The following is a 27,657-nucleotide window of genomic DNA, read 5'->3' on the forward strand; positions in this document are numbered from 1 at the left end:
CCTCGTATTAGACAACTACTTCCACTGAAAATGATGACATAGGTTGGGTATGGTGGCTCATGCTTATAATCCCAGCACTTTGGGAGGCTAAGGTGGGCAGATCACCTAACGTCAGGAGTTCGAGACCAGCCTGGCCAACGCGGTGAAACCCCGTCTCTCCCAAAAAATACAAAAGTTAGCCGGGCGTGGTGGTGCACGCCTGTAATCCCAGCTACTCAGGAGCTGAGGCAGGAGAATCACTTGAACTCAGGAGGCGGAGGTCACAGTGAGCCAAGATTGCGCCACTGCACTCCAGTCTGGACAAGAGCAAAACTCCATAACAAAAAAAAAAAAAAAAAAAAAAAAAAGAAAATGACATAGAAGGAAAGACATAAGTGGTTGGCTAATACACCTTAGTGAACTATTTCAGAAGAAAATTCAGCACAATTCCAGCCTATAACTCCAAAAGCCTCAATTTCTTGCCTTGTTCCTGTCCCTTGATTTTTGTCCCCTCTTCTTTCATCGACAGAGCAGAAGGTCAACTGCCTCAGGTGTGTGCAGTCACTTACTGGCCCTGGAAATGTACATCCAGAACAGAATATTATCTTCCTGGCAGCCGTCCCATTCAGCCTGTGCATGGAGCTGTCCCAAGACCTGAGCCTTCTTAGTTTGGTGATGCTTCACTATGGCTTCAACTCTCCAACTTCTGCCCTCCAAGACCATAGTGATAAGAAAACAAAGATCAACTACCCCCGAGCTGGGAGGAGGACTCCTTTTTTCTCTGTACAGCCTTTTATATGTTTAACTTGCTTACCATGTAATATGGATAACCTATGAAAAAGATTTCACGTGTATACCTTTTTAAATCACTTACTCTACTTGTTTGTGAAGACAAAAATAAATTTAAAAAATGCCACAGACTTCTTGCAAGTTAAAGAAAAAAATTCAGCTTCCTGTGTAATAAGAAATATTGTAAGTCACACTCGTAGTCCGAGCTATTTGGGAAATTGTGGTGGGAGGAACACTTGAGCCCAGGAGTTCGAGACTGCAGTGAGCTATAATGGTGCCCACTGCACTCCCATCTGGGCAACAGAGCAAGGAATCATCTCTAAAAAATAATAAAAATAAAAATAATTTTAAAGATTAAAAAATATATTTAAAAGAAATATCACAAGTGAACTATAATTCATCCCAAAAGAGAATATGGATCTTTTCAAAGAGCAACATCAAAATGTCCAAGGCTAGTCATCATTTCTTTCTTGAGAACATTCATAAGCCACTGCTCACCCCTGGACTCCATTTTAAAAACAGATGCCACAGAGTTCTTCACTGCTTAGCCCATTCTCACATCACCAGTCCCCAAGCACGGACCTCACCCCTGGCCAGCCTTCCGGCATGCCAGGCCTCCTCCTCCCTCAAGCCCATGCGGAAGCAGGGAAGTGGGTCACACAGGGAGCCCATGCTATGGGTGGACGTACCCTGCCGACGAAAGTGGAAGGGCAGAGGTGGAGTGGTTTCTTCTTCCTTATTCCTTTATATTCTGTTAAGCTTTAGCAACTCTCTCAACTGACTCATGCATGGACTTGTTCTAGAAGAAACTGTTAGAGGCAGCAGAGGTCTGAAGGTGCTTTAGTTCCACCCCTAGATGAGAGTGACAGTCCCAGACACCCAGCAAGTTGGCATTAGAACCAGAGCTAGAACCCAGAGCTTGTCCCCAGCCAAGTTCTCTTTCATCTGCAATATCTGATTTCCCAGAATCATCCTTCATGGTGTGTTCTGGACCAATTTTTTGTCCAAAAACTAGACAAAAAGATAACTGTTTCATTTCTATTTCTACACTACAGCTCATACAATTTAAAGGAAGGACACTGCTGTAAGAACCATCCTCCATCACCAAAGAAAACTGGTTGAGTTCTTTTTATTTATTAAATAAGACTGGAAAGGGTCATTGTCTTGATCAGCGTTTCTATGCCTTGACACTGCTGACATTTTTGGTGGGATCATTCTTTGATGTGGGGACCATCCTATGCACTGCAAGATGTGTAGCAGCATCGCTGGCCTCCACCCACGAGGCACTGGTAGCATCTCCTCCCCTCCACTTGTGACAATCAAAAATGTCTTCTTTGGACATTGCCAATTGTCCCCTGAGGGGCAAGATGCCCCGGTTAAGAGTCACTGATCTACGGGAAACTCGATTATTTGGTTGTCATTGAAAATACTCAGCAAGCAAAAAATTGTTCACATTAGGGCTTTATAGACAAATAAATTGGAAAACTGAATCCAGGGCATTCCTCAACAGCCAGTGCCCAGAATAGCCTGAAAGGGGTCCTGGGGAGATAGGTGGGGGCTTCCGTAAACCCGAGGCATGGCAGTCCATGTGTATTATTGACCTTTCCAGGTGAAGGCAAAAGGATATTTGAGTCAGGGTTGAAAGCATACTGATAAAAGCAGAACATGGTCGGGCATGGTGGCTTATGCCTGTAATCCCAAGCACTTTGGGAGGCTGAGGCGGGTAGATCACCTGAGGTCAGGAGTTTGAGACCAGCCCAGCCAACAAGGTGAAACCCCATCTCTACTAAAAATAAAAAAAAAAAAAAAAAAAAAAAACAACCTAGCCTGCTGTGGTGGTATGTGCCTGTAATCCCAGCTACTCAGGAGGCTGAGGCAGGAAAGTTGCTTGAACCTGGGAGGTGGAGGTTGCAGTGAGCCAAGATCATGCCACTGCACTCCAGCCTGGGCAACAGAGCAAGACTCCATCTCAAAAAAAAAAAAAAATTTTTTTAGCAGAACATAAGTTGATGACTGTGAGATGAATAGTGTTGGGTGGAGAGAAGCCAGAATGGTGTTGGGGTCCTTAGAGAAAGCCTGGTATTGTCTATTTGAATAATTGCTTGTGAGCTTTGGACTAGTTGGTATCCCATTGAGCCTCTTTACTGAGAGGATGGGAGTATCACAGGAACCAGACATGGAGACTAGAAGAGCTTTGTGAAGGACACCTTGAATTATAAGTTGAAGATCTTGGAGAATTCTTGTCTTGAGGATATTATACTTGAGAGTAGCATGGAAGGTTCTATTTCTACGTTGAGAGGTTTGGCCTTCTTGATTTGGCCTGCGTCAGTTGAGTGACCAGCTCAAAGGCAGTCGGGTATTTTAGTTAGCATAGTTTGTGCTTGAGGTTTTAAAGGGGGATCAGGGATTTTGACAGAAACAAGAAAAGTGTGATGGTCAATAAGAGCCATGAAAGGGCAAAGATGCAAGGCTGGGAACCCAAGGACCTCAAGTGTGAGGCCCTCGGGGAGCAAAACTACTGACAGTCCAGTTGGAAAGTAACTCTTTCCAGAAGGTTTACTGGGTAGTGGAACTAAGAAGCTGTGCTGGGTGGGGAGGGTCCTAGTAAGACAGAAGGTTCTGTTAAAGGCAGCACATGGATGCTTATCAAGTCCCACCAACAGGCATGGCTTGTGTGCTCTTAGGGAGTGTGGCAAGAGGTGTTCATGGTGAGATGTGTTGCTCGGGGTCCATTAGGAAGGGAGGGGAGTGTCCATTGATGGGGAAGATTCTCTCCTGAGTTAGTGTGGACACAAAGGGGAACATACCCCTCCAAGAAAGTCGTTAAAAGATGGATTTTTAAACCCTTGCTCTCTTTTGTTTTAAAGCCAGCCAATCCCAAGCCAGCATTCTTTTTATTTGTATCTGCATGTGTGCCTAGCAAGTGGGGGTTTGGAGTAAGCAGATTGGCCTGGTTTGCTTCCTTCTGGTAAGTTGTGCAGCCGTCAGTTTGCACTGTGTTGATTTGGCCTTTTCTCTCATGGATTCTTCAGGGTGTTGGGCTAGTGTAACACTTTCAGAGAGAGAAGCGTTCTGCCTACTTACATTGGCTTTGGGGTAATATCTTTGATTTCTGATCAGAAGCCATTAACATAATTAATAAAAGCAAAAGTGGCTCAGTCATCAAATATAAGATCAGATCATATACTTTGTAGAGCTTTAGCAACTCTCGCAACTGACTCTCTGAAAATGTCCTTCCTAACATTTTCTAATCTATGTCTATATTGAGAGGCACATTCATCTCTGTGTTGTCTGCCGTCTTTTATCTTTGACCAATCAGTTTTCCAGGAGCCACAGTGGGAATGGATTCTAAAGTCTCTCCCCTATAGTTCTGGCCTGTATCAGGGTGTTCTGATTTCCTTGGAAGTCCTCATGAAGAGTAGCCCGTGTGGCTTTTCAAACCATAAGGTGGCATCTCTGGTACCCATTAACAGCTGCAAAAATTGATAAAGTTCAGGGAACCCAGGAGAATACGCCCCAAGGACAAAACCAAATGGATTAGTAAACTCTTCCCTGGTCTGTCTGAAAAGCCCTTCACAACTGCATATGGACCTGAGTGAGTCCTTATTCAATTCGGCCCTCGGGTCATGGGCCTTCTATCATGATGGGGAAGCACCAATACATCAGGATGAGGTAGGGAAGTAGGAGCAGGGAAGATTGGGGAGCAGGGGCTAAAGGAGGAAAAAAGTCCCTCAGACTAAGGAGGAATACTGGGTAGGGGGGAAAGCATCAGAGCAGGGCCCATAGAGGGGTGGGGCAGGGGGAGAAAGGGTTGAGAGGTTTTGTTAAGGGTGGAGGAGTGGGAGGAGAGATTGGTAGTGAGAGACGTGCTTAAGGGACTGCTCAGTTTGAAGTAGATTGGAGACATTTTCTCATGTTTCAGCCTCCTTGGACCAAGCAAAATAAGCTGACCTTTGAAGAGAACAGATCTTGAGGGGGATCTGTAGATGGACACAGGGAGATTCCAGGTGCCTCAGAGGGATCAACTTGCAGTTCCAAGTTGTCCTCAGGGAAATCTTGCCATTTTTTGGGATAATGAACTGAATTCTCATCACAGTGGAATACGTATCATCGGAAGGGATTTTTAAAGGGCAGGGTGAGAAGTGGATTGAGAATTTCGCATAGCACCAAGGTTAAACAGAAGCCAACTACGAAACAAAGCCAGAAGGGCACTCAAGCAAATAATCAAAATCAAATCCTTACCACGCTGCCAGGGACCGATATATCCAGAGCATGGGACCAGGAGCTGGACTCACGGTGGGATCTCTGATCAGTCACAGAAGGAGCTTGACGAGCTCATGGGGTCTCTCTCCCTAGGTGGAGAAGACAGGGCTCCAAATGGACTTCCAGTCCCATCCACGTCACAGAGGCAAATTGTCAGAGACAAAGACCTAAGCCGGTAAGCAAACTGACTTTATTCAGGTTATTATATTATAGTCGGGAGAGCACCCAGATCCCAAAACCTGAGTGTCCTGGCAGTTGGTTTTGTCTAGACTTTTATAGGGAGGAGTGAACCAGTTCCAGGTGGGGGTGATTTTACAGTTGGCATGTTTATGTCATCAGGAGGCATCTGTCAATCAGCTGGACAAGGAGTATCTAGCTGTTTCTAGCTTGTTTGGAGGGACAAATAGTTCAGCTAATCATTTAAGAAACAAAGAATGGTAATTTGGAGGGTCTCTGTGTCCTTATCACAGGAAACAAGGCAGTCACCCATGACTGTTACGGAAATCACAAGAACGAGTATACGGCATTTATGAATGGACCTACTGGTGTGCTAGTAGGGCTGCCATAACAAAGTACTGCACAGATGGGGCTTAACCAGAGATGCATCGTCTCACCATGCTGGAGGCTGGAAGTCCCAGGTCAACACATGGACAGGGCTGGTTTCTCCTCTGGCCTCTCCCCTCAGCCATCTTCTCCCTGTGTCCCCACATGGTCTTTCCTCCATGTGTCTGTGTCCTCATCTCCTCTACTTATGAGGACACCTGTCAGGTTGGATTAGGGCCCACCCTAGTGACTTCATTTTACCTTCATCACCTCTTTAAAGACCTCTTCAAATACGTTCACACTCTGAGTTACTGGGGGTTTGGACTCCAACATCTGAATTTTAAGAGGACACAACTCAGTCCGTGACAGCGGGTCTTCTCGAAGTCTCGTGGGGAAGAGTGGTTCTTTGCAGTAAGTCATTTCCTGGAACACAAAAGGGTGGGAGACATCTGACATACAAGTGTGGGCAATTGCCCTTGGCTGTTGTCCAGAGGCACAGGGCTCAGGTGCAGCCCTGCACTGTCACAGGGTCCCAAAGGAGGCCCCTTGGTTTGCTGTGCTCCACACTCCAAGCTTCCACGAGCTGATGGGGGAGGGGTGAGAAAGAACTCGCAAGGGAACCGAGACCTACTGAAAAAAGGAAGAAGTGAAGACGATGTCTACGGGGCTGAGGGATACAGGGGAAATGTGGTTTGAGGTTGACAGAGGGGAGGGGGAAAGAGCCACACGGCAGGAGGCTGGGCTGAGAGAGATTCTGAATGGTCTCCAGGAGGCACAGAATGTGAGAGACAGGTGAGGGAGGGAAGATTTCCCCCACAAATCTTCACCCTGTTAATACATGTGGGCTCAGCCCCACAGGAGTTGTTCGGTGAGCACACACATTACTGTTGAAGACTGGAATCTGATTTGTGCAACTCTGTGTTCAGCCCCTGCTAAGAAAGGCCTGGGAGCAGGGTGCATGAAAGGGTCTGCTTCATTCTGGGTGCCCAGCCACCAGCAGGGTACCACTCCTGCCAGACGCATGGGCAGGCAGCTCGCCTCGTTCCTGGACTGTGAGCTCCCTGAGCACCAGGAACGACCTACTGCTGCCTTACTGTTCCCTCTGCACACAGCAGAGGCTTGGATGGAAGGAATTCCTGGGTCCCTCTGAAAATGTTCAGGCATTAGTCACGTATGAATCAATCTAGACCTGTTTTTGCGTCCGATTATGTTTTCAACTTGCACCACCTCTTGGGGGCACTGATGTCATAATTCTTCCATTCCCCATGTGTCCTGACCAGGCAGGAGCTACGTGGCTGTCTGAACTCTTGTGGGTTTGTGATAAATGGGCGAGTGTTGAAAGAGAAAGGCAAACAAACTGCTTTCCCAAAGAAGTCGGGAGACGCCCTCGACAAGCCCTGGACAGAGCAGAGAATGGGCTCCGCCAGGAGCTGAGGAGAGCCTTGGGGAGGCTTCTGTATCCAGGGACCTCAGCCTTACTGCACCTACCCTACCAAGCAGTGCCCTGAGGACCTGAACTTAGCCCTGTGTGTGGACGTCTGTTGCAGAATGCGCCAAGTGCCCAGAAAAGAGACCAGGGAGACAAAGGCAGCAGGGTAGGATGGCAGAGGGGACACCTCCTCCATCCAGCCACCTCTGTCTGGTGCTTAGGCATCTGGGTGCCCCACACTTCCTGTGCTGCCCAAACAAGCACCAGCTCGGTTCTAAAGGGAAGTAAGACAACACGCACAGCAGAGGCCTGGAAACGGCCAGGGAAGGAGGAGAGGCCAAACGTTAGCATCTGAGTACTTTCTTTTTGGGAGGTGCTGTGAGGCGTGCAAAAGCGAACAGTAATGGCTCTCAGTAACCTCAGCAAATGCCAGCACTCAGCAGCCGCCCTTCCAGAGAGGGGTCGCTGGCAGCTGCAGCATCAAGCGGAGTTGCTGCATAGGATGCTTTTTATAGTGCTGTTTGTCTTCACGGTTCTCCAACAGATGAGCTGGAGGGTGGATGTTTTTAAGATCCATTTGTGTACCGTGAAAGCACATGGCCTGTCTTCCCAAGAGTTTCTGCATTTCCAACTTCTTAATCCACAATAGAAAAAAGTCTAGAAAAACTAATGCAGTTAGAGCAGGTTTTCCTCGTGCCAGTGTCCTCATATCCCACCCCCCCCCCCCCGCTAAAAATGACTCCCCAAGGAACTCCAGCAGAGTGTGGTATTGTCTCAAGATAAAAACAAAAGCAGTAGAGCCAGAGATGGGGCAGAAAAAGTGAGATGAGACATTTACTTCCTCAGGTCCTTTTCCAGGAGTAAATGACCATCGTGCGCCCATGGGAAGAGTGCTGCATCCACGGAGGACATGGGCCAACAGTGCTCTCAAATGGGTTTCATGAAAGCATCTGTGACTCATCCCTGTTCAAGAATGTTTTCATTACGATTCAGCAGAAGCGATGTGCCAGGTCAGCAAATACAACTGCAAAACCGGGGCCTGCCAGCCTGGCCAACACAGCAAGACCCCGTCTCTACTAAAAAGTAAAATTAAAATTAGCTGAGTATGGTGGTGCGTGGCTGCAGTCTCAGTTACTCAGGAGGCTAAGGTGGGAGGGTCACTTGAGTCCAGGAGGCCGGGGCTGCAGGGAGCCGTGATCGCACCACTGCACTCCAGCCTGACGCCGTCTCAAAAACAAAACAAAAAAAACCCAGGGCCTGAATGCAAAGTGAACACTTGCTCCTGTTAATCGTAGCACTTGCATTACAGGCCTGGTGGCTCCTAGCATCCGTCCGCAGCACAAGGCCATGTTGTGTAGTGGCACATCCCCAGTCCAGCCGCGGGGAGCTGCCTGCAAGGGGAGGTGGTGAGCAAACAGCTGCGCAGCAGCAGGGAAGCGTCATCTCCATCTCACTTCATGGCCCTCCCCAGCTGCTGCAGAGATGCTGGGGGTCCCTTCTACAGGCAGGCCTGTGTTCTAATGAGAGCCAGGAGACTGGCAAGATTAAGCAGAGTCCTCATGAGTGATCTGGAAAACCTCACTGCACTTTAAAACAGATCCCTAGATTCTGGGCTTCACCTCATTTAAAAAGGACATTGTGTATACTGTTTCAAGTAAATAAAATGAGAGAAAGAGGAAAGAAAAATAGTTTTCAAAAGCTATCCTTTAATTCCCTGAGAAGCACAGCTCTCGGAGTCTACAAAGGGTTTAATCTGTGCTGGTCGGTGGACAGAATAGTCCATGTGCTTGGCCCAGTGTCCTACTCTCTGAACATTCTAACTGCATGAGCACACTGGGCAGCTGCCTGGGACCCGGGGCTGGGGCTGTAGCCCTAACTTTGTGGCTAGTCCCTCCATATGACCAAGCTGAAAGGCATTAAGTGGATTAGGCCAGCTCCAAGCGACACGGAAGGTACTCTTCCTCTTCTGCAGAACAAGGCTCTCATTTTCAGCTTTAAGGATTTCCACTTCTGAAAATCAGGACTGTTGTTCTGGATCTCAGTGAGACAGCACCCAGCACACCCAGTGGACTTAGAGAACAGTCTCTTGCTGATAGTCTTTAAAAAAAAAAAAAAAAAAAAAAAAATAGGGACCATGGAGGCAGGCAGGCCAGGCTGCACCCATGGGTCAGAGGACTGGGAATTCCCAGGCGTCACTTGGCCTTTGACATCTGTTCATCTTTACAGGCCAAGATTCCAGCAGTCGGCCCATGATGACACAGACAGGGCTAGGGTAGGAGCCACGCATTAGAGCCACAGGGCTGCTCCTGAACCTCATTCTCCAACAGCTGCAACTCTGTCTCCTTAACACAAGCGGATGACAAAATGAATGCAGCTAGTTTGAATTCTGCTTACTCAACCTCTATGGAGTGAATGAGCAGTGAAACGCATGAGGTGGGCAACAATGAGCAACAGGCCCAGATAAAACACAAACGGAGTGAATATGCGGTGGCCTATGCTTTGCCAACCAGCAAGCATAACCACTTTATGCCACGGGTATGGAGTCTGTTTGGGATGGGCTGAAGGCTTCCTGATCCCTTCAGAAATGTGCAAAGGACCCCTCTCTCTGTGGTGAATGGACAGGCTCCAGGAGATCCCAAAGCTCACAGATTCCAGAAGTGAGGTCTAAAGTTCCCCTGGGGCGCAAGACACAAAATAAATTTATTATAGGGACCCCCCCAGGACCAGGCCCCATGGCTGGGGTGGAAGGCTTCCAGGGAGCTATCAGTACACTTCCATCCTGGAGTCAAGCCATTCACAAACAAATGCAGGAATGCAGAAGGGGGCTGGAGGTGAGAACAGAAAGGAGGCAGGCCAAGGGTCGGGGAAGAGCAACAGTGAAATAACGAGGTGATTTATACAATTTATTGTATATTTCAAGGTGGCTAGAAGAGAAGAATTGCAATGTTCCCAACAGAAAGGAAAGAAATGTTTGAGATGATGGATATCCCAATTATCCTGATTGACCATTGCATATTGTATAGAGGCATCAAAATACCATGTATACCTCCAAAATATGTACAACTGTTACATATCAATAAAATTTTAAAAATATAACTTTAGGCCGGGCACGGTGGCTCACACCTGTAATCCCAGCACTTTGGGAGGCCGAGGCGGGCGGATCACGAGGTCAGGAGATCGAGACCATCCCGGCTAAAACGGTGAAACCCCGTCTCTACTAAAAATACAAAAAATTAGCCGGGCGTAGTGGCGGGCGCCTGTAGTCCCAGCTACTTGGGAGGCTGAGGCAGGAGAATGGCGTGAACCCGGGAGGCGGAGCTTGCAGTGAGCCGAGATCCCGCCACTGCACTCCAGCCTGGGCGACAGAGCGAGACTCCGTCTCAAAAAAAAAAAAAAAAAATATATATATATATATATATATAACTTTAAAAAAGAACTTTGTGATTTAACACTGAAACGAAGACAGACTAGTTTATATCTGTTATGTAAAATTCATTCACTCATTCTGCAAGTTTCTTCAAAAATTTCAAGTTCCATATCTACATACCTACCGTAGAGGAAAAGGGCTCCTAGGGAGACCAAGAAAACACAGTTGGTCACTGTATTCTAAGCTGTGACTTCTAGTCACTGCAACGTACTTTTCATTGACTGATGAGAATAAACATTCAAATGGACATTCAGAAAACTGTTCCTGCCGGGTACAGTGGCTCACGCCTGTAATCCCAGCACTTTGGGAGGCCAAGGAGGGCAGATCACTTGAGGTCAGGAGTTTGAGACCAGCCTGACCAACATGATGAAACCCCATCTCTACTTAAATACAAAAATTAGCTGGGCATGGTGGCAGCAGGCATCTGTAATCCCAGCTACTTGGGAGGCTGAGGCAGCAGAATCACTTGAATCCAGGAGGTGGAAGCTGCAGTGAGCCGAGATCACGCCACTGCACTCCAGCCTGGGAGATAGAGTGAGACTCCCTCTCAAACAATATTAAAATTAAAATTAAGAAAACTGTTCCTGGTCCTCTTGTTGTCGCGTTAAGAAACCCAGTCTCATCAGAAGATGCTCCCCCTCTGAACCCCATGCTTCGAAGGCCCTCCTTCAGAGCTGGCCGAGTATCAGCTCTGGAATTCTTGCTGGGTTCAGCGTTTCCTTTGTCTCTTGGGCCAGTCTTCAGGTTCCGACAAGTGGGTGAATTTTCCCTAAATTTTCATGTAACACAAAAGGAACTTCTGTGCTAAAGAACTTTGTGGGGGGTGTGGTTTCTTGCTTGTGGCTTGGGTCCTGTCACTTATGTCCCTCTGCTGAGCTGTGCTAGAGGAAGGATTGAGAACCCCTGCTACAGTCACAAGCCTGGAGGAGACGTGGGTGAGCAGAGGTGCCCCGGGGCCCCACTCAGGACACCTGAGTGCCAACACCAGACCTGCTACCCTGGGCTCTTGTGCCTCATTCCCATCACTGTGGGGAAATACAAAAGGGCAAGGGGTAGGGGCACAGCTTGGTCTAGGATCAGGATTTCTCAAACTCAGAACTACTGATATCTTCGGACAGAAGATTCTTTGTTGCAGGGATTGTCCTGTGCATTGTAGGATGTTTAGCAACATCTGTGGCCTCTACTCTCCTACAGTTATGAGAATCAAAAATGCCTACAGACATTGCTACATGTCCCCCAAATGGGGCACCCAGCCCCCAGTTGAGACTCCTGGTATAGACCTACGCTGTGTAATCCAGAAGCCACATGTAGTCATTAAGCATGTGACTAGTCCAAATTGAGATGTGCTTTAAGTATAAATGTACACTGGATTTCAAACATTAAAGAACAAAAGAATGTAAAGTAACCATGAATATTAATATATTACATTTCGTTTTATATCATTTGTTATAATACTATTTTTTCATACATCAAGTAGATTAAAATGTATTAATTTATTTCTTTTTTTTTTTTTTTAAGCTTTTGATAATGTGGCTACTTAAAACAACTGAAATAACACATGTGGTCCCATTGTGGCCACATTAGATTTCTACTGGCCAGCGTGGGACTAGACTCAGGCTAAGGTCCTCCCAACTCAGGTAAGTCCCAATTCTGTGAGTTACTACTGCAGGAATAAGAAATCATTTTCCAGCACTATCTGCAGATAGCTGAGGCGTAACAGAGTGTGGACACAGAATCCCATCAGAACATTTCCCAAGTGTTTGAAACTCTCTCTTCCATAGTAAACTAAGCAAAACCTGCAGCATCAGCGTTTAGAGGCTACACCCTACTCCATCCCACAGAGGAAGCAGCCCCAACTGTCAACATCCTGTTCTGGCAAGCCCAGGGATGCAATAGGCCCTGGAAAACCCCATGCAGAGGCCCGGGGAAGCCAGTCTCACTGTGGAAACTTTCCACTCCTAGCTACCCATAAGTAAGAGAGCCTGGGACCTGTACTTCTCTAGCCAGGAGAGCCAGCTTCTCATGGGAACTGGTGGAGTGCTTCATGATTTACTATCTTTCCACACACATCACCCTTTCTTCATTCCTGCAACTGTCATGCAGCTGTGAACTAAGATGTCTCCATTTTATATGTGGCCAGTAGAAATTTTGCTCCAGAAACTCAATCACAAGAAATATTCATTTCTTTTTTTTTCTTTGAGAAAGTTTTGCTCTTGTTGCCCTGGCTGCAGTGCAATGGCATGATCTCAGCTCACTGCAACCTCCACCTCCCAGGTTCAAGCGATTCTCCTCCCTCAGCCTCCCCAGTAGCTGGGATTACAGGCACCCGCCACCATGCCTGGCTAATTTTTGTATTTTTAATAGAGACGGGGTTTCACCACGTTGGCCAGGCTGGTCTCGAACTCCTAAACTCACCCGATCTGCCCGCCTTGGCCTCCCAAAGTGCTGGGATTATTGCCAGTGGGCCACTGGCCCCCTGTGCCTGGCCCATTTCTTCATATTGATTGAATTAAATGAATTCTAAGCCCAGATGCCACTAGAGTGGTCAGAAATTCAACCTCAGCCCTTTCTCCACTGTCCTGTCTCATCCCAGCTCCTAAAGTTGTTCCAAAGGCAAAGGTCCATGACTGTGAGCAAAGGAGAACATGCATGGTGGCTTCTCTGGTTTTCCTCCCTGGTCATCCTTACTAGATCATTGTCTTGGCCCACCTGGTACCTTAAAGAGATCTGTGTGCTGCTCACAGGATGCACCACCCCTTTCCGAGGCTTGGCCACCTCTGGGAGCTGTGACTGACAATCCAGGACTCGAGTTCCTAGCGACCCCCCTGAATTCCCAACCCGACTCTCCCCTAGCCACGGAAAGCAACCTGTCTTGTCTCTGCTGGGCAGCTAGCTCTCCTTGAAAACCAAACCAAACCAAACCAAAAGCACCAGCCCTCAATGGCCTTGTCCTCTCACCCCCCCATCCTTAGGCACGAGCTAGCGTGATCTCCTGTATGACTTTAAGCTTTCAAAATAAAATCCATGAGGGAAAATCTGCTTAAGTCCTACATCACAAACCTCCTAAGCAAGATGAGGAGCTCGAAGGCTGGGCAGCTTTCTGGGAATGGAGGCATGAAAGACCACAACAGACGAGACAACTTAAGATCTCTGTAAATGATGCTTTTTTCACCAATGGAGACACCAGGGCTCTGCAAGGTCAAATGACCTGCTCAAGATTACGTTCTGTTAAGAGTCAGAGGAGGGACTGAAACCCAGGACCCCTGACTCCACCTAAACATATCATGAGCAGCTCCTATTCCATGCTCCATCCTGAAATCACCAAAGAGCATAGAAAGAATTCTGTCCGCTCCGCTCCACTGTAAGCTGATGGCTTAGGGAGATTCCCAAGGCCCTTCATTTCTAGTCCTAGAAGCTCCTTCCTCAGAGGAAATGCTCTGTTCCCCACAACCATGTTAGGGGCACACTTCTCTGACCCCCTGGAACATAGCTGGACCTTGCTGGAACATTTCAACAAGACCTTGTTAAAGAGGTGATATTGACACATTACTAAACTAGATATTGATTTACAAGAAATGTTTTTCACAACATCTACAAAAATGTTAAAAAAAAAAAAAAAAAGTATTCAGAGAAACCCACAGGAGCTTCAGAGGTTCTGCAGAGAGGTAATTCCAACTGCACTGATTTCCACTGCATGGTTTTGGATGGAGGAGTTCATTGGAAAAGCCAGTTTAGAGGTGGTGTGAAATGTAGGGTGATCTTAACAGATGGAGTGCTTCTCAGCCAGGATAACTAAAGGGCTGATCGAAGTACTCTATCATAAAATTATAAAAGGAGCCCTAAAATTAAAAAGCATCCTGGCCATACTAGTAGGCCCAATTGGAGGACTCTGCAGGAATTGTCACATGGAATGTGGAGTTTATTAGAGCACCAGAAACAGAGCTGAGGCTTGATGTCCCCACAGGAGACGAGAATCACAGGACCTGATGTAACGTCTAGAAAATGCGTTTAGCAAAGGTTTCTGTTGAACTTTAAAAAAGAAATGTTCTACTCTACTCAATAAGCTTACCACATGCTGCACGGCTAATGACAGAACTGGAAGGATCTACCTATAAAAAAAGCATGGCTTAATAAGACATGGGAATATAAAGCACACACACAAACAAAAATCAAGTAATTATAACTCCTTAGAACACTAGGATGCTTGTTGCAAATGACAAAGTTTGAGTTTCACAGACACGAAGTTGAACCAAAAATCCAGACACAAGAGTACACACTCAATGATTCCATGAATATAAAGTTAAAAACCAACAAGACCAGCTGTGAGTAACCAGTATAGCAGTTCTTCAAACAATTAAAAATGGAATCGTCATATAATCCAGCAATTCCACTTCCGGGTACATTCCCAAAAGAATTTAAAGCAGGGCCTCAAAGACATCTTTATACATCCGTGTGCAAAACGGCATTATGTACAATAGCTGAAGGATGGAGGCAACTCAAGCGTCCATCAACAACAGATAGATGAGTAAACAAAATGTGTTGTATCCACACAATGAAATACATTCAGCCTTAAAAAAGAAGGAGATTCTGATATACGCTGCAGCATGGATGAACCTTGTGAACATCAAGCTCAGTGAAACAAGCCAGACACACAAGGATGAATGCTTTATGATTCCACTTGCATGAAGTACATAGAGGAGTACTGTCCATAGAGACAGAAGGTAGAAGAATGGTTGCCAAAGGCTGGGAGCAGGGGAAATGGGGAGTTGTTTAAGGTATATGGAGTTTCAGTTTTGCAAAATAAAGAATTCTGGAGGCAGATGGTGTTGATGGTGGCACAACAATGAATATGTTGAAATGTCACTGAACTGTATATTTAAAAATGGTTAAGATAGTAAATTTTATGTTGTATTTTACCACAATTAGTTTCTTTTAACCAAAGGGAGGAAATACAGGCAAACTAAGCTATGGAAAGGATGAGGGCTGGTCCTGGAGAAGTGGTCAAGGTGTGTACCCGGGAGCTGGTCGTGTTCTATAGTTTAATGGGAGTGCTGGTTATGTAAGCCTTTTGAGTTTTTGAACTTTTATCAACCAAATATTTAGAATTTTGCCAGTTTTCTCTATGAGTGTTGTGGTTTAATTAAAAGTCTTAGTTTATAGGAACAAAAAAATACCTATACAAGAAAGGTCATAAGGATGAAAGAATCTAAATTCTAGAGTGATATACTACACTACTAACTTCTGCTCATATTTTGTCCCATAATAGCTTCTGGAGCTCCCAAGTTTAAAAGCAACTTTTTATTGCCACTTTGGTTAATGGGCAAGAACCACCACCCCAAGAGTCTATTTTTGTTTTTAAGAAACTTTCTCCTAGGAGTCCCTCCCACAAGGCTGCTCAGCACAGTCCAGGCTCAGTCAAGCACTTCGAGTACAAAACAACTTGAGTGCGTGGAGATCTCACTGTGTGAGCTTTGTAGGGATTAGGTAAATCACAGGTGCACCCTTACCTGAACCAGCCAGCAGCTTATTCATTAATCAAGTGCTTAACAAGCTGTTGCTCCAAGTTCCCCTCTCAGCCTGGCAGACTGGTGTCTTTGGACTGATTCCCAGTTTGGGGCCCCCTCAGCTCCCCTTTTCCACTCTGCCAAAACTTCTCCCTGCAGGTCCTGTCCTATTCTCTTCTCTGCTATATTCCCCATGCAGAGTTGGCCTCTTGGGTTTCTCCTATGTTTCTCCAGCTTTCTGACTCCTGCCCAGAGGCTGCTCTTAAGACTCAGGTTGTGATCTGAACCAGTTTCTCCACAAGGAGTCCCAGGTCTGTCCTCTCTGAACCATTGTCTTTCTTTGCAAAGCTTTTCTACTTGGATCCTATATCCCCTTCCCGCACCTGCCCATGGTCCAAATGCGGCACAGAACTCACCAAAACCAGCTCTACATGTCATTCCCATCTGCTCAAGCCTTAATACTGACTTCTTCCAATAGAATAAGCCCTGCATCCAAACAATCTAATGCTCACATTTTCATTTTACCAGGGAGGAAACAGGCTTGGAGAAGTAACTTGCCTGTGAGCCTATAAAAGTGGCAAAGCTGGCCGGGTGTGGTGGCTCACGCTTGTAATCTCAGTACTTTGAGAGGCCAGGGTGGGAGGATTGCTTGAGCCCGGGAGTTGGAGACCAGTTTGGGCAACAAAATGAGACTTCACTACAAATAATTTTTTGAAAATTAGCTGGGTGTGGCAATGCACCTATGGTCCCAGCTACACGGGAGGCTGAGGTGGGAGAATCACTTCAGCTCAGGCAGTCCAGGCAATATTGAGCTGTGATCACGCCACTGCACTCCAGCCTGGGTGACAGAGCAACACCCGATCTCAAAAAAAAAAAAAAAAAAAAAAAAAAAAAAAGAGGTGGGGGGCAAAGCCACAATGCAAGGGTTACCTGAATTTGGTGGGCTGCCTATTGCACGGGGTAGGGTATATTCAGAGCCTCGTCTACTTTCTGCTGAGCTGAAGTCCTACTGTTGGGTACCATTTTCCCCAGGACCCCACGGCATTCAGATCTTGCCGGCTTCCTCCAGCCACTGCTAGAAGAACATTAGCAGCGAATCATGGAATGTCAGGGATTCAAAGTAGAGGCCCTCTGGTTACATCCTTTTGTTTTAAACATCACATATAAGCCCAGGGCCCTCTGTTTACTTTTGATTTTACCCAAATAGAACCAACTAGGGAGCAGATGTGTGCAGCTCAGCAGGAATCCAGCTTTGGGGAAATACTGAGGTCTCCAGACTTGGGACTGGCTTTGTGTGAAATGCTTGGTTAGGGGAAAGGGGCTCCCTGCTGAACAAGACTGGAAAAACATCTCCCAAAGGCACCTTGTGGCATCTGTAAGCTGTGGGTTGCAGGGGTGCTCATAAAACAAAACTCAAGATAGAAAATACACATATTTCAGACCCAGCTCTGTCCCCTTGAAGCCAGCACTAACAGCCAGCTTGACCCTTTTTCCTGACAATCCCTTACAATGTGGGAGCCAGGGTTCCCACAGGGCCTGAAGAGGACATGCCCGGGGCTCCTATAGCCTTAGAGAGCTGCTCACACGATCTGGGGCTGGATGAGCACCATCAGGCTTATGGAGAGAGACTAGGCCAAAAGTTCAGGCCAGTTCTGTTGAAAGAGAGAACACTTTAAAAAAAAAAATTGTGTTTCTTCAGAATTTGCTCAGGATTATCAGAAAAGAGAGAAGGAAAAAAAAAAACTTTCATCCTCTACAGTTGAGCAGGGAAGGGATGGGGAAAGACTCATTTCCTAATGACAGCCTTTTGTAACTGAAGATCTAAATAAGGTAAAAAATAAAAATGCTTCTCCATTTCTACAAGAAGTGGCCAGCCAGGAAAGGGACTTCTTGTCTAACCCTCCTGTGAAAATGAGGCTCATTCAGTCAGATTTCAACCCAGCCTTCTCCACTTTCTGCCTCCATCACCCTTCCGGGGGCAGAATTTAGCAGTGGTCTGCCACCCCGAGCAGCCGCTCCCACAGGAACTGCCTCATTAAGCTCTGTGACCAGTAACTCCCAACTTAGGAAAAGCTCAAGAAGGACCACTCTGCTTTGTTTGCACTTTTCCAAGAACCCTTACTACATAAAACGTTCTAAACTTGGGAACACTAACTTTTGCACTGTTTCCCACCGAGCCACAGAGCTCGCACCAGCATCACGCTCTCCCTTTGCCAGGATCTGAGCTCGCTGGAGGAAAATACAAGTTCCTCTTTCAGCTTCTTTCCTTCACTTCTGGAGACAAGCTTTCCAGCTACCAAAACAGAACGTTTCCCAGGTTTTCCTCCCACACCTATGAACTTTGTTCCTTGATTAAATCCTAGTTTCCCCTCTAAACAGAACTGGACTATGTCCAACCAATGTCTTCAGTTTCTGCAAACATTAACTCTGATGTTTTTTTTCAAGAGGTTTGTGTTCGGCTTTTGAGTAGGTTCCGGAGGCTGCCAGTGGAAAGTCTGAGGGGGGTATCAGCAGCATTTTACCCCATCCCCCGCATCCCCTCTGGCCAGCAGGACAGGAAAAGGAAGCCTGTTTGCGTGCACGAGCCTGCTGACCGGCCTTTGCCATGCGCTGTGCTTTCCTTTGTAGACACAGAGGGACTGCGAGGGAGGATGAGCAACTCCTTCCTAAGCTGGTAGGGTACATGGCTCCAAGAAACGCTCCTGGTCTGGAGTGGAATGTAGGACCGTTCTCCTCTCACAGCCAGCCACACAAAGCTACCTGTCTTCGGACATCTTTCCCCGACGCTTGAGCAGGCTGCAGGGAAAGGGGCCCGCTTACCCGGAGGAAGGAAACCCTCCGCAGACCCTCCAGGAAGGCAGGCCTGGGGCGCCCCTTCCCCGGGGAGCCTGGAAACCCACAAGGCAGGAGCCATTAGAGGGCAGCACGTGCCTGTCTCATAACACTGAGCAGACTCGTCTTTTTTTTTTCTTCTTCCAATTACAGGGTGTTTCAAAAAGCAAAAGTACCGTGGCTCCAGCGTCAGCAGAAAAACAAGTTAGAAAGACAGGCAGGGGAGGGGGCGATCCCTCCAACTCCAAAGCTGTGCCAGGGAGACACCGCTCTTGGGGAAGTTGGGCTGCAGCCCCCGCACGTGCTAGGAAGATAAGTGAAGGTCCCAACACATCCTGTCCCCTTAGAGCCCCTGGGGCCCAGCAGCCGGGCCCAGCAGCCCGACCCAGCGCCTAGAGCCCATTCGCAGACAGCGCGCTGAGGCGGCTTGGGCGCCATGCCCTTTGGGTTACTCAGCTCTTCAGCCTCCTGGAACGCTAGGACAAAGGAGTGCCTTGGTGCTGGCAGAAGCCGGGGGGCACAGCTGGGTTTTACAAGGAAGGACGAAATCTCATCTCAGCAATCGGGATAGATCAACCGTTGCCCGTCTGAGGTGACCCAATTCAGGGACCAGCCGCTTGGCTCTGAACACACACGTGTCACAACCCCAGCTCGTACCCAGGCCTTGCTAGAGGTAAGAACGTGGCATCCCTCCCTGGGACCAACTCGAGCGCCACTTGGGCGTCCCCTGCCAGGACCGCTCTGCATTGCAAAGGGCCCCTGGGGCGTTCAGGATTGGCCTCTGCCCCTCCTCCCACTGCACCATTCTCTTCTTCCCACCGCACATCTCTTCCTAATTCACCAAGGGGTTCCACCCCAAGGAAGAACTCCTTCGTGCTGGAAAAAGCCTGGGGCAGCACGGTGGGCCTCCCCCTCCATCTGGGTCACCAGAGGCAGGGAGGGAGGAGGCTTGTGTAATCTTACTATTCATTTCTCCGTGCAAGCTCCTCGGGACAGGCCTGAATTCATGATACCATCTCATTGGAAGACCTTTGCCCCCAAAGGGCCTGGGCAGATTGAAGCGTCTAGCAGAGGTGAGGGGTGACAGGTGACCAAACCCCAGCCCTGAGGTCTCACCACCTGCTCACAAGCCCAGAGCTGGGGTGGTGGGGTTCTCACTGCCTTCTCCCCATCCCCCTTCTCATTGCATTTCCTTTCCCCCACTCTGGCCTCGGAACCCAGGCGGCCAGTCCTTAGCCAGTCCCTTCTCGCTGTTGTCCAATCTGTCACTGTGCCTGACTATTCTTTAGGAAGTGGTTACTGTTTGTTGCACACCATTCACAAACACTTCATTTTCAGATCCTGCCCTCTGCACACTACGTGCTAGGACCTTGGCAGGCCCCGTGAGTGGCCAAGTTCCGTACTCTTGGTCATCAGCATCTGATCTGCCTCTGGAACTCCTCTTTCTCCTTCCTTGTTCAATTCAGCGGTTTCAGTTGACAAAGACCAGGGAGCCTCTAACCCCGGGGGCGTACTAACCATAGAAATATCACTCAGTCTAGCATAGAGTGCGCCTATAACTGAATGGGGAACTTCACTGATAGTGCTTCCAGTTTCCAATAGCATTAGGCTAGGTATTTGGACTACATTTCCCACTGACAACCATTTAAAAGCTGGATAAGATATAAAACAACTCAATCTTTCTGTTGAAATTGTCAAATAGTAAGAAGTAATACTGGCTGTTGATCCAGGGAATCATGAGGGACTGAGTCAGTCCTCTCTAATCCTATAGGCATCAGAAAAAATCATGGGTACAGTAATTCCAAAGTCAAACTGACAGGTAGTTTTCATGAAATTTTCCTAGTAAATTATCCCAAAGAACTAATAAGCTGGACAAAAATTATATTGCATGAATATTTATACAATATCTTTTCTGGTAGACTAATTCCACCTAGTTGACAGCTCTGTTAGATTCCTTTGGGGGCCCTCTTGTCTGCCTTGCAGCTGTGCCATTCCTATACAAAGTGCAGAAAGCACCTGCCCTTGTTTGCAGCCATAATGGAAAAAAACCATGCCATTCTACTCTATCCCTCCAATGTCCATAATGCAATTATCAGGTCTCTCGACCTGTCAGATTTTTACTTGCACTCACCAAAAAGGCTTCACTCTTCACCCCTAAGATGGTAGTAATGTAACTACCCCAGTGTTACGGTAAAGGTTTAAATAAGATAATGTACAGAAAACACTGAGCACCACATATCAATAGTAAGTGCCCAATTAATGTTATTCCTATTGTTTTAGCATTAGTATCAACCATAAATGGTTATGATTGCCGTCTTGTTTAAGAACATATCCAACGTTTGAATCTCTTTGGAAACATTGCACCAAATATTCAAACTTTTTCAAAGTGAGACATACTTCCTCATGAAGCAGCCCATCCATCATTGGACAACTTCGGCTACTGTGAAGTGCGTCTCTGTTGAAAATGAAGCCTAACTCCAGTGAACTTAGTCCTCTGCCTTGCAGCCTAATGTCTGATTTCTCTTCCTCATTATCTGAATACTGTTATCACATCCTTTTTTCCCTGCACTTTTTTTTTTTTTGAGATGGAATCTTGCTCTGTTGCCCAGGCTGGAGCGCAGTGGTGTGATCTCGGCTCACCGCAACCTCTGCCTCCCAGATTCAGGTGATTCTTGTGCCTCAGCCTCCTGAGTAGCTGGGACTACAGGTGTGTGCCACCATGCCTGGCTAGTTTTTTGTATTTTTAGTAGAGACGGGGTTTCAACATGTCAGCCAGGATTGTCTTGATCTCCTGATCTCATGAGCTGTCCAACCTCGGCCTCCCAAAGTGCTGGGATTACAGGCATGAGCCAACTACACCCAGCCTTTTTTTTGTTTTGTTTTGAGATGGAGTCTTGCTCTGTTGCCCAGGCTGGAGTGCAGTGACACGATCTGGGCTTACTGCAACCTCTGCCTCCTGGGTTCAAGTGATTCTTGTGCCTTAGCTTCCCAAGTAGCTGGGATTACAGGTACACACCACCATGCCTGGCTAATTTTCGTATTTTTAGTAGAGATGGGGTTTCGCCATGTTGGCCAGGATGGTCTCAAACTCCTGACCTCAGGTGATCCGCCTGCCTTGGCCTCCCCAAAGTGTTAGGATTACAGGCATGAGCCACTGCGCCCAGCCCCATGCTTAATTCTTTCGACCTGTCCCTGGTTGCTCTTGACAAATGTGGATGGCTGGCCATTTCCTTTTTGAGTGTGGTGTGTGACCAGCTGCTCACTCCATTGTATTTCTCTCAAGTCTAACCTCAAATGAGCTTTGTGGGGTCCACATCTGCTGGTGGCTTCTTTTACCCTACTTTTGACTAAAACCCTTTTAAGTCTTTTTCACTCCTCAGCTACAGCTCCGTTATCCTGCTCCTGTGCGATTCATTTGCCACCCCCCCCCCCACTCCAGGTGAAGACAGTGGCATATTTTCCTGTTAGAATCAGCCTATTTCCATGCCTTCCAAGATGTTTTGGATCTTGATTCTGTCCCACTAAATGTTAGTCTCTCAACATTCAGTAACCAGCAAATTTGGTAAAGAGGGACCTTTATGACTTCCTACGGGTAACATGATGAAAGTTTTGGACAAGACATAGCAGAGGAGCCCTTCCTTGTGAGGGCCCAGCTCTGATATTCAGAGCCTCAGAGTCGCCACCTCCCACAGGCTGCCTTCCCCGCTGTGCACTGTCTGTGAGGCATGTTCTGCCTAGCCTAGGCCTTCACAGCAGGGGGCAAGGGGGATGTCAACAGTGCTTGGAAACAGCGAGAGGGACGGGGTCTGGGGTTGCATGGGGGATGTTGAAGCAGAGAATAGAAGGGCAAAAAAAAAAGTCAGCAAAATAAGGATGGTAAGGAAGGAAAAAACCAGTTAGGACAGTAATTGGGTAAGTTAGAAAGAGAGGAAGGAGTAAATGTTGGAGGAAGTAGGTAGAAATTAACAAAGAATTTTCAAAATGGACAACAAACCAATGTAACAAAGATGGCAAGATGGAAATAGTCAGGGGCATTGAATGAGGCAAAACCCTAAGGGCAAGAAGAGACTAAAAGGCCACCAGACCGAGAAGTTCTCCAGGCCACCCTGTGGCCACGGGGATTGTTGAGTTGTGGGGTTTCATGCTGGTTACTGGAGCAGCTGAAAGCAGCCTCAGAGGAAAGAGCTTCCCAAGATGCATTTTGATTCTAAGAATATTGGTTTCACGGTAGGATGTTTTCATGTCTTGAGAATCTTTAGACACAGGAAATGTACATATCAGGCTTTGCGGAATACATCTGCCTGGAAAGGGCAAGATGGATTTAAAATACTTTGTGAAAACCAACCATGATCCCATTGTGTTTTGAAGCTCCAGGTTTATGAGCCGTAACTCAGCAGAAGCCTAGCATGAGAACAACTCATCTGAAGCTCCAACATTTGGGGAATGCAACCTTTCGACAGACATTTGCTGAATGGATAGGAGACTCCTGAAAGCAGAATTCTGCACATTCTGTGGACCAGCCCTGACTACGGAGAGCAGGTGTTAGCCAGTATCCATGCGCAGTGCCTCTTAGTCTTACCTGTCTGCTGCCTTACGCAAGCATGGAGCTTAATATGCTAGCTGTGTTCTCCTAACCTCAGATATCTGTAAAACCAGCCACAGTAAGATAACATGGTAGAGCACAAAATGCTTAGAAGAGATTTATTTGAAGCAATGCTTCCCAGAAGTTTTTCAATGCAGCTTATGGCGAGAAACACATTTTACATCTCTACTCAGTACGCAGCCACTCATACTCAACTGAAACATCTTCTGAAACAATATTTCACTTCACTCTCTGCAATACAGAAAATACCAGATCGTATTGTATGTTATTTCATTGTTTTAAAATCCTGAGCCTAGCTTGCTAATAGATTACAACTCAGTTTGAAAAGCACAGGCTAAGGGGCTTCAAATAGGGGTGACACATTGAACACACACATTTATCACCTCTCCCTTCACAGATCTCATTAAAATGATAATAAAGGAACAAAATGGCAGAAATCCACAAGGACAAACAGCAAACAAGAGGGACATCAGCAGATAGGCAACCTCAACAAGTATATCACAATGAGTGACACACCCCCTATAACAGCCAATTTTGATGGTCCTCCCATAGCTCTTGCCTTATTCTTTGTAATAGGATTCAGATTGTTTAAAATCCCCATATTCTACCGCAAAGTCATGTTATCAGGAAAGACCAACCCTAACCCCAGTTCCATGGAGTAAAGATTAATTAATCTAAACTCTATTAATTGTATTCCCTTTATCTGGTGATAAGTTTAAGAGCTGATCCCTTAATTTTGGACATGGGAGCACAAGAGAAACTCACTCAAGACTGGGATTAATTGTAGGAAATATTTCACAGTTTCCACAAGTCAGAAGAGCTAATCCCAACCCTCTGTATCTGGAACATACACTGCTGCCATTTTCTGCCCATGAAGGGAAATACCCAAGGTACTCTGGCAGAACAGATTTTTGAAAACTTGAGTCCCTGATGATGTAAGTCAGCCACAATGTTAATCAACCCCAGAGCCACCTTATTTCTAGACTTATTATGCAAGATAAAAAAAATCAACTTGCAGTATGAACCACTTTTAGTTGGGTTTTATTTCGGCAAACATATGCCAAGGCACAGCATAAAATTCCACAAGGGACAAATCAATGAGCCCAGAACTTCCAATGAGGGGGACAACTAAGTCATATACACAATAACTAGAATGTAAATGGTATTGAACTTCAAGCACAACATTGGATGCTAGAAAAAAAGAATGCCTTCAAAGTTTTAAAAGAAAACACTTTTCTACCTTGAATTCTGCAATCAACCATACCATTGATCAAGAACAAAAGTAGATAGAATTATCCTTAGACATGCAAGGACGAAAATTTACCTTCCATATGCCTTCTAGGAGCTAATAGTTGATGGGTTTCAGGAAAAGAAAGGAATATAAATGAAAATAAGGGAAGAGAAGGGACCTAGGAACCAGTGAGTCCAGTCAGCAGGGTGGAAGAGCTGACAGCTACACTGTGCAGTCCACACAAGAGTAGAAGGGGAAGACATCCAGGGAAAAATTACATAGACTTAACAGAGTAGAAATATGGCAGATCTAGTGGCAAAGTGATCATCAGAAAGAAATCAAATATGCTGTACTGTATAACGAATTACCCTGAGACTTTCAGACTTAAAATAAGCATTTATTATCTTCTATTTTCTGAGCATGAGGCATCTGGGAGCAGCTTAGCTGGGTAGTTTCAGCTCAGGATCTCTTCTGAGGTTGTCAAGATGTCAGCTGGGGCTCCAGTCAGCTGAGAGCATGACCAGAACCGTAGAATCAGCCTCCACCATGGCTGACTCATGTTGCAGTTGGCAGAAGGCCTCAGTTCCTTGCTGGCTGTGGGCAACAGGCCTCAGCTGCCTGCCACATGGACCTGTTCAGAGGGCTGCTCAAGTGGCCTAACATGGCAGCTGGTTTTCCCCAAAGCAATCCATGAGAAAGTTCGTGGGGGGGGGCTGTAATGCCTTTTATGACCTAGTCTCAGAAGTCACATGTCATTATTTCTGCCATGTTCTATTTGTTAGAAGCAATTCACTAAGTACAGCCCACTTATAAGGCAAGGGAAATAGGGCTCTGCATTTTATAAGAATATTGAATTTTTGACATGTTTTTAAACTATTACACATATGCATATAAAAGTAGCATGTAAGTTAATAAGTGTGGCAAAGAGATAACTTCAAGGGAAACAAAATCTAAAGAAAAAATGTAATCCTAATGCACCACGCAGATTTGCTATTAACAATATCGACATAGTTTTGGTGTTATAAAGTGATTATTGATGTAATTAAAAGCAACTATAGGCCAAGCCCAGTGGCTCATGCCTGGAATCCCAGCACTTTGGGAGGTGGGCGGATCACCTGAGGTCAGGAGTTTGAGACTAGCCAAGATGGTGAAACCCTGTCTCTACTAAAAATACAAAAATTAGCTGGGCATGGTGGTGGGTGCCTGTAATCTCAGCCACTTGGGAGGCTGAGGCAGGAGAATTGCTTGATCCCGGAAGGAGGCAGCTGCAGTGAGCTGAGATCATGCCACTGTACTCCAGCCTGAATGACAGACTTAAACAAAAAACTATGCAGCTATATAAAGAGGGATGAGGAAAGATAAGAGCATAAGGGAGCCAACTTTTCATTAACTCTGAGGAAGCCAATTGATATTACCTGTAATTGATAAATCAAAAAACTATGATCAAGACAGTCTTGCACTGGCAAAATAGGTCAATGACCATATTTGTTCATTGAAAAAATAGAAAACCCAGACAGACCTCACCCAAATATAATCAACTGATCTTTGACAAAGGGGAAAGGATAGTCTTTTCAGTAAATGGTGCTGAAACAACTGGACATCCACATGCAAAAGAATCTAGTCACAGACTATATCCTTCACAAAAATTAATTTAAAATGGATCATAGATGCAAATGTTAAACCTAAAACTAAGACTCCTAGCAGGTCACATAGGAAAGCATCTAGATGACCCCTGGGTTTGGGAATGACTTTTTAGACAACACCAAAGAAATGATTAAAGAATTGATAAATTGGACTTTATTAAAATTAAAAACTTCTGCTCTGTGAAAGGCACTGTCATGAAAATAAGAAAAGCCACAGATTGGAGAAAATATTTGCAAGAGATAAATCTGATAAAGGACTGTTATTCAAAATATATAAAAAGTCTTAAAACTCAATAAGGAAACAACTTAATTAAAAATGGGCAAAAGATCTGAACAGATACCTCACAAAAGACATACAGCTGGCAAATAAGCATATGAAAAGATGCTCCACATCATATATCATTAGAGAATTGCGAATTAAAACGAGATACTGCTACACACTTATTAGAATGGCCAAATCTAGAATACCGTCAACACCAAATGTTGGCAAGGATGTGGAGCATCAGGAACTCCCATTCATTGCTGTGTGAATGCCAAATAGTAGTTTGGAAGACAGTTTGGCAGTTTCTTACAAAGCAACTACTTTTGCAATATACTCCAGAATTTGTACTCCTTGGTATTTACTCAAATGAGTTAAAAACATGTCCACACAAAACCCTGCACATACCCTTCACTGCTTCCATGTTGTAGCAACCAATGAATAAAATTGCTAGAAACAATGTCCTTCAATAGGTGAATGGATAAACCATCGTGCATCAAGACAGTGGAATATTATCCAGTACTAAAAAACGCAATATGGAAGCCATGAAGACATGGAAGAAACTTAAATGCATATTGCTAAGTAAACAAAGCCAATCTGAAAAGGCTACACATGCTGTATGAGTCCAACTATGTGACATGCTGGAAAAGACAACTATGGAGACAGGAAGATGATCAGTGGTTGCCAGGAGTTAGAGGGGAGGGAAGGATGACTAGGTGGAGAACAGAGGATTTTTAGGGCAATGAAACTGTATATTACAGTGATGGATTCATGGCATAATACATTTGTCTAAACCCATAGAATGTACAACACCAAGAGTAAACGCTAATACAAACTGTGAACTTTGGGTGAAAATGATGTGTTAATGTCAGTTCATCAGCTGTTACAAATGGACCACGCCGGTACAGGATGTTGATGGAAGCAACCGTTTAGGGGTGGGGGCAGGCATATGGGAACTCTGTACTTTCTGTTCAGTTATGCTGTGAGCCTAAAACTGCTCTAAAAACAAAGCCTAATAAGAAAAATCACACGCTAGGTCTGGTCTATCAGCATAGTTCTTCTGCCTCCCACTGCCAACCAGTCCCACCTGCCTCCTTTCCTGGCCCTTCCTCACTGCCAGGTCTTGTTTCAGCGCATGGATTACCAGAAGGAAAA

The 27,657-nt window shown here is 46.0% G+C and overlaps 2 long non-coding RNA genes across 3 annotated transcripts in view, besides 5 other annotated features; one reads left to right on the forward strand and one right to left on the reverse strand.

The window, feature by feature from the left end:
* LOC101928004 (uncharacterized) overlaps nt 1–27,657 on the reverse strand; it is a 106,380-nt gene that overhangs the window by 11,070 nt on the left and 67,653 nt on the right. The window contains exons 3-4 of the long non-coding RNA NR_187687.1: nt 5,836–5,997; nt 5,011–5,120 (exon numbers count right to left, since the gene is read on the reverse strand). This is a non-coding gene — a long non-coding RNA (uncharacterized LOC101928004). The remainder of the gene's footprint in view (nt 1–5,010; nt 5,121–5,835; nt 5,998–27,657) is intronic.
* LOC101928047 (uncharacterized) lies at nt 3,516–27,530 on the forward strand. Of its 2 annotated transcripts, XR_001743949.2 has the most exons (6): nt 3,516–3,736; nt 5,125–5,206; nt 7,850–8,013; nt 11,949–12,067; nt 18,920–19,439; nt 23,135–27,530. It is a non-coding gene; the product is annotated as an uncharacterized LOC101928047 (long non-coding RNA). The 2 variants fall into 2 exon arrangements; XR_002956321.2 differs by lacking the exons at nt 3,516–3,736; nt 7,850–8,013; nt 18,920–19,439 and having other exon boundaries at nt 5,030–5,206.
* Nucleotides 6,103–6,892: an enhancer, noted in NCBI's record as "H3K4me1 hESC enhancer chr6:6712197-6712986 (GRCh37/hg19 assembly coordinates)". NCBI's record gives its function as "activates a minimal SCP1, AML or CMV promoter by ChIP-STARR-seq in naive H9 embryonic stem cells {active_cell/tissue: H9 hESC(naive)}" and the evidence as "EXISTENCE:reporter gene assay evidence [ECO:0000049][PMID:30033119]".
* Nucleotides 6,233–6,292: an enhancer, noted in NCBI's record as "active region_23926". NCBI's record gives its function as "activates an Ori minimal core promoter by ATAC-STARR-seq in GM12878 lymphoblastoid cells {active_cell/tissue: GM12878}" and the evidence as "EXISTENCE:reporter gene assay evidence [ECO:0000049][PMID:35858748]".
* Nucleotides 7,060–7,209: an enhancer, noted in NCBI's record as "active region_23927". NCBI's record gives its function as "activates an Ori minimal core promoter by ATAC-STARR-seq in GM12878 lymphoblastoid cells {active_cell/tissue: GM12878}" and the evidence as "EXISTENCE:reporter gene assay evidence [ECO:0000049][PMID:35858748]".
* Nucleotides 18,922–19,615: an enhancer, noted in NCBI's record as "OCT4-NANOG-H3K27ac-H3K4me1 hESC enhancer chr6:6725016-6725709 (GRCh37/hg19 assembly coordinates)". NCBI's record gives its function as "activates a minimal SCP1, AML or CMV promoter by ChIP-STARR-seq in primed H9 embryonic stem cells {active_cell/tissue: H9 hESC(primed)}" and the evidence as "EXISTENCE:reporter gene assay evidence [ECO:0000049][PMID:30033119]".
* Nucleotides 18,932–18,991: an enhancer, noted in NCBI's record as "active region_23928". NCBI's record gives its function as "activates an Ori minimal core promoter by ATAC-STARR-seq in GM12878 lymphoblastoid cells {active_cell/tissue: GM12878}" and the evidence as "EXISTENCE:reporter gene assay evidence [ECO:0000049][PMID:35858748]".

This window comes from Homo sapiens, chromosome 6 (assembly GCF_000001405.40).
Source record: "Homo sapiens chromosome 6, GRCh38.p14 Primary Assembly".
NCBI lineage: Eukaryota > Metazoa > Chordata > Mammalia > Primates > Hominidae > Homo > Homo sapiens.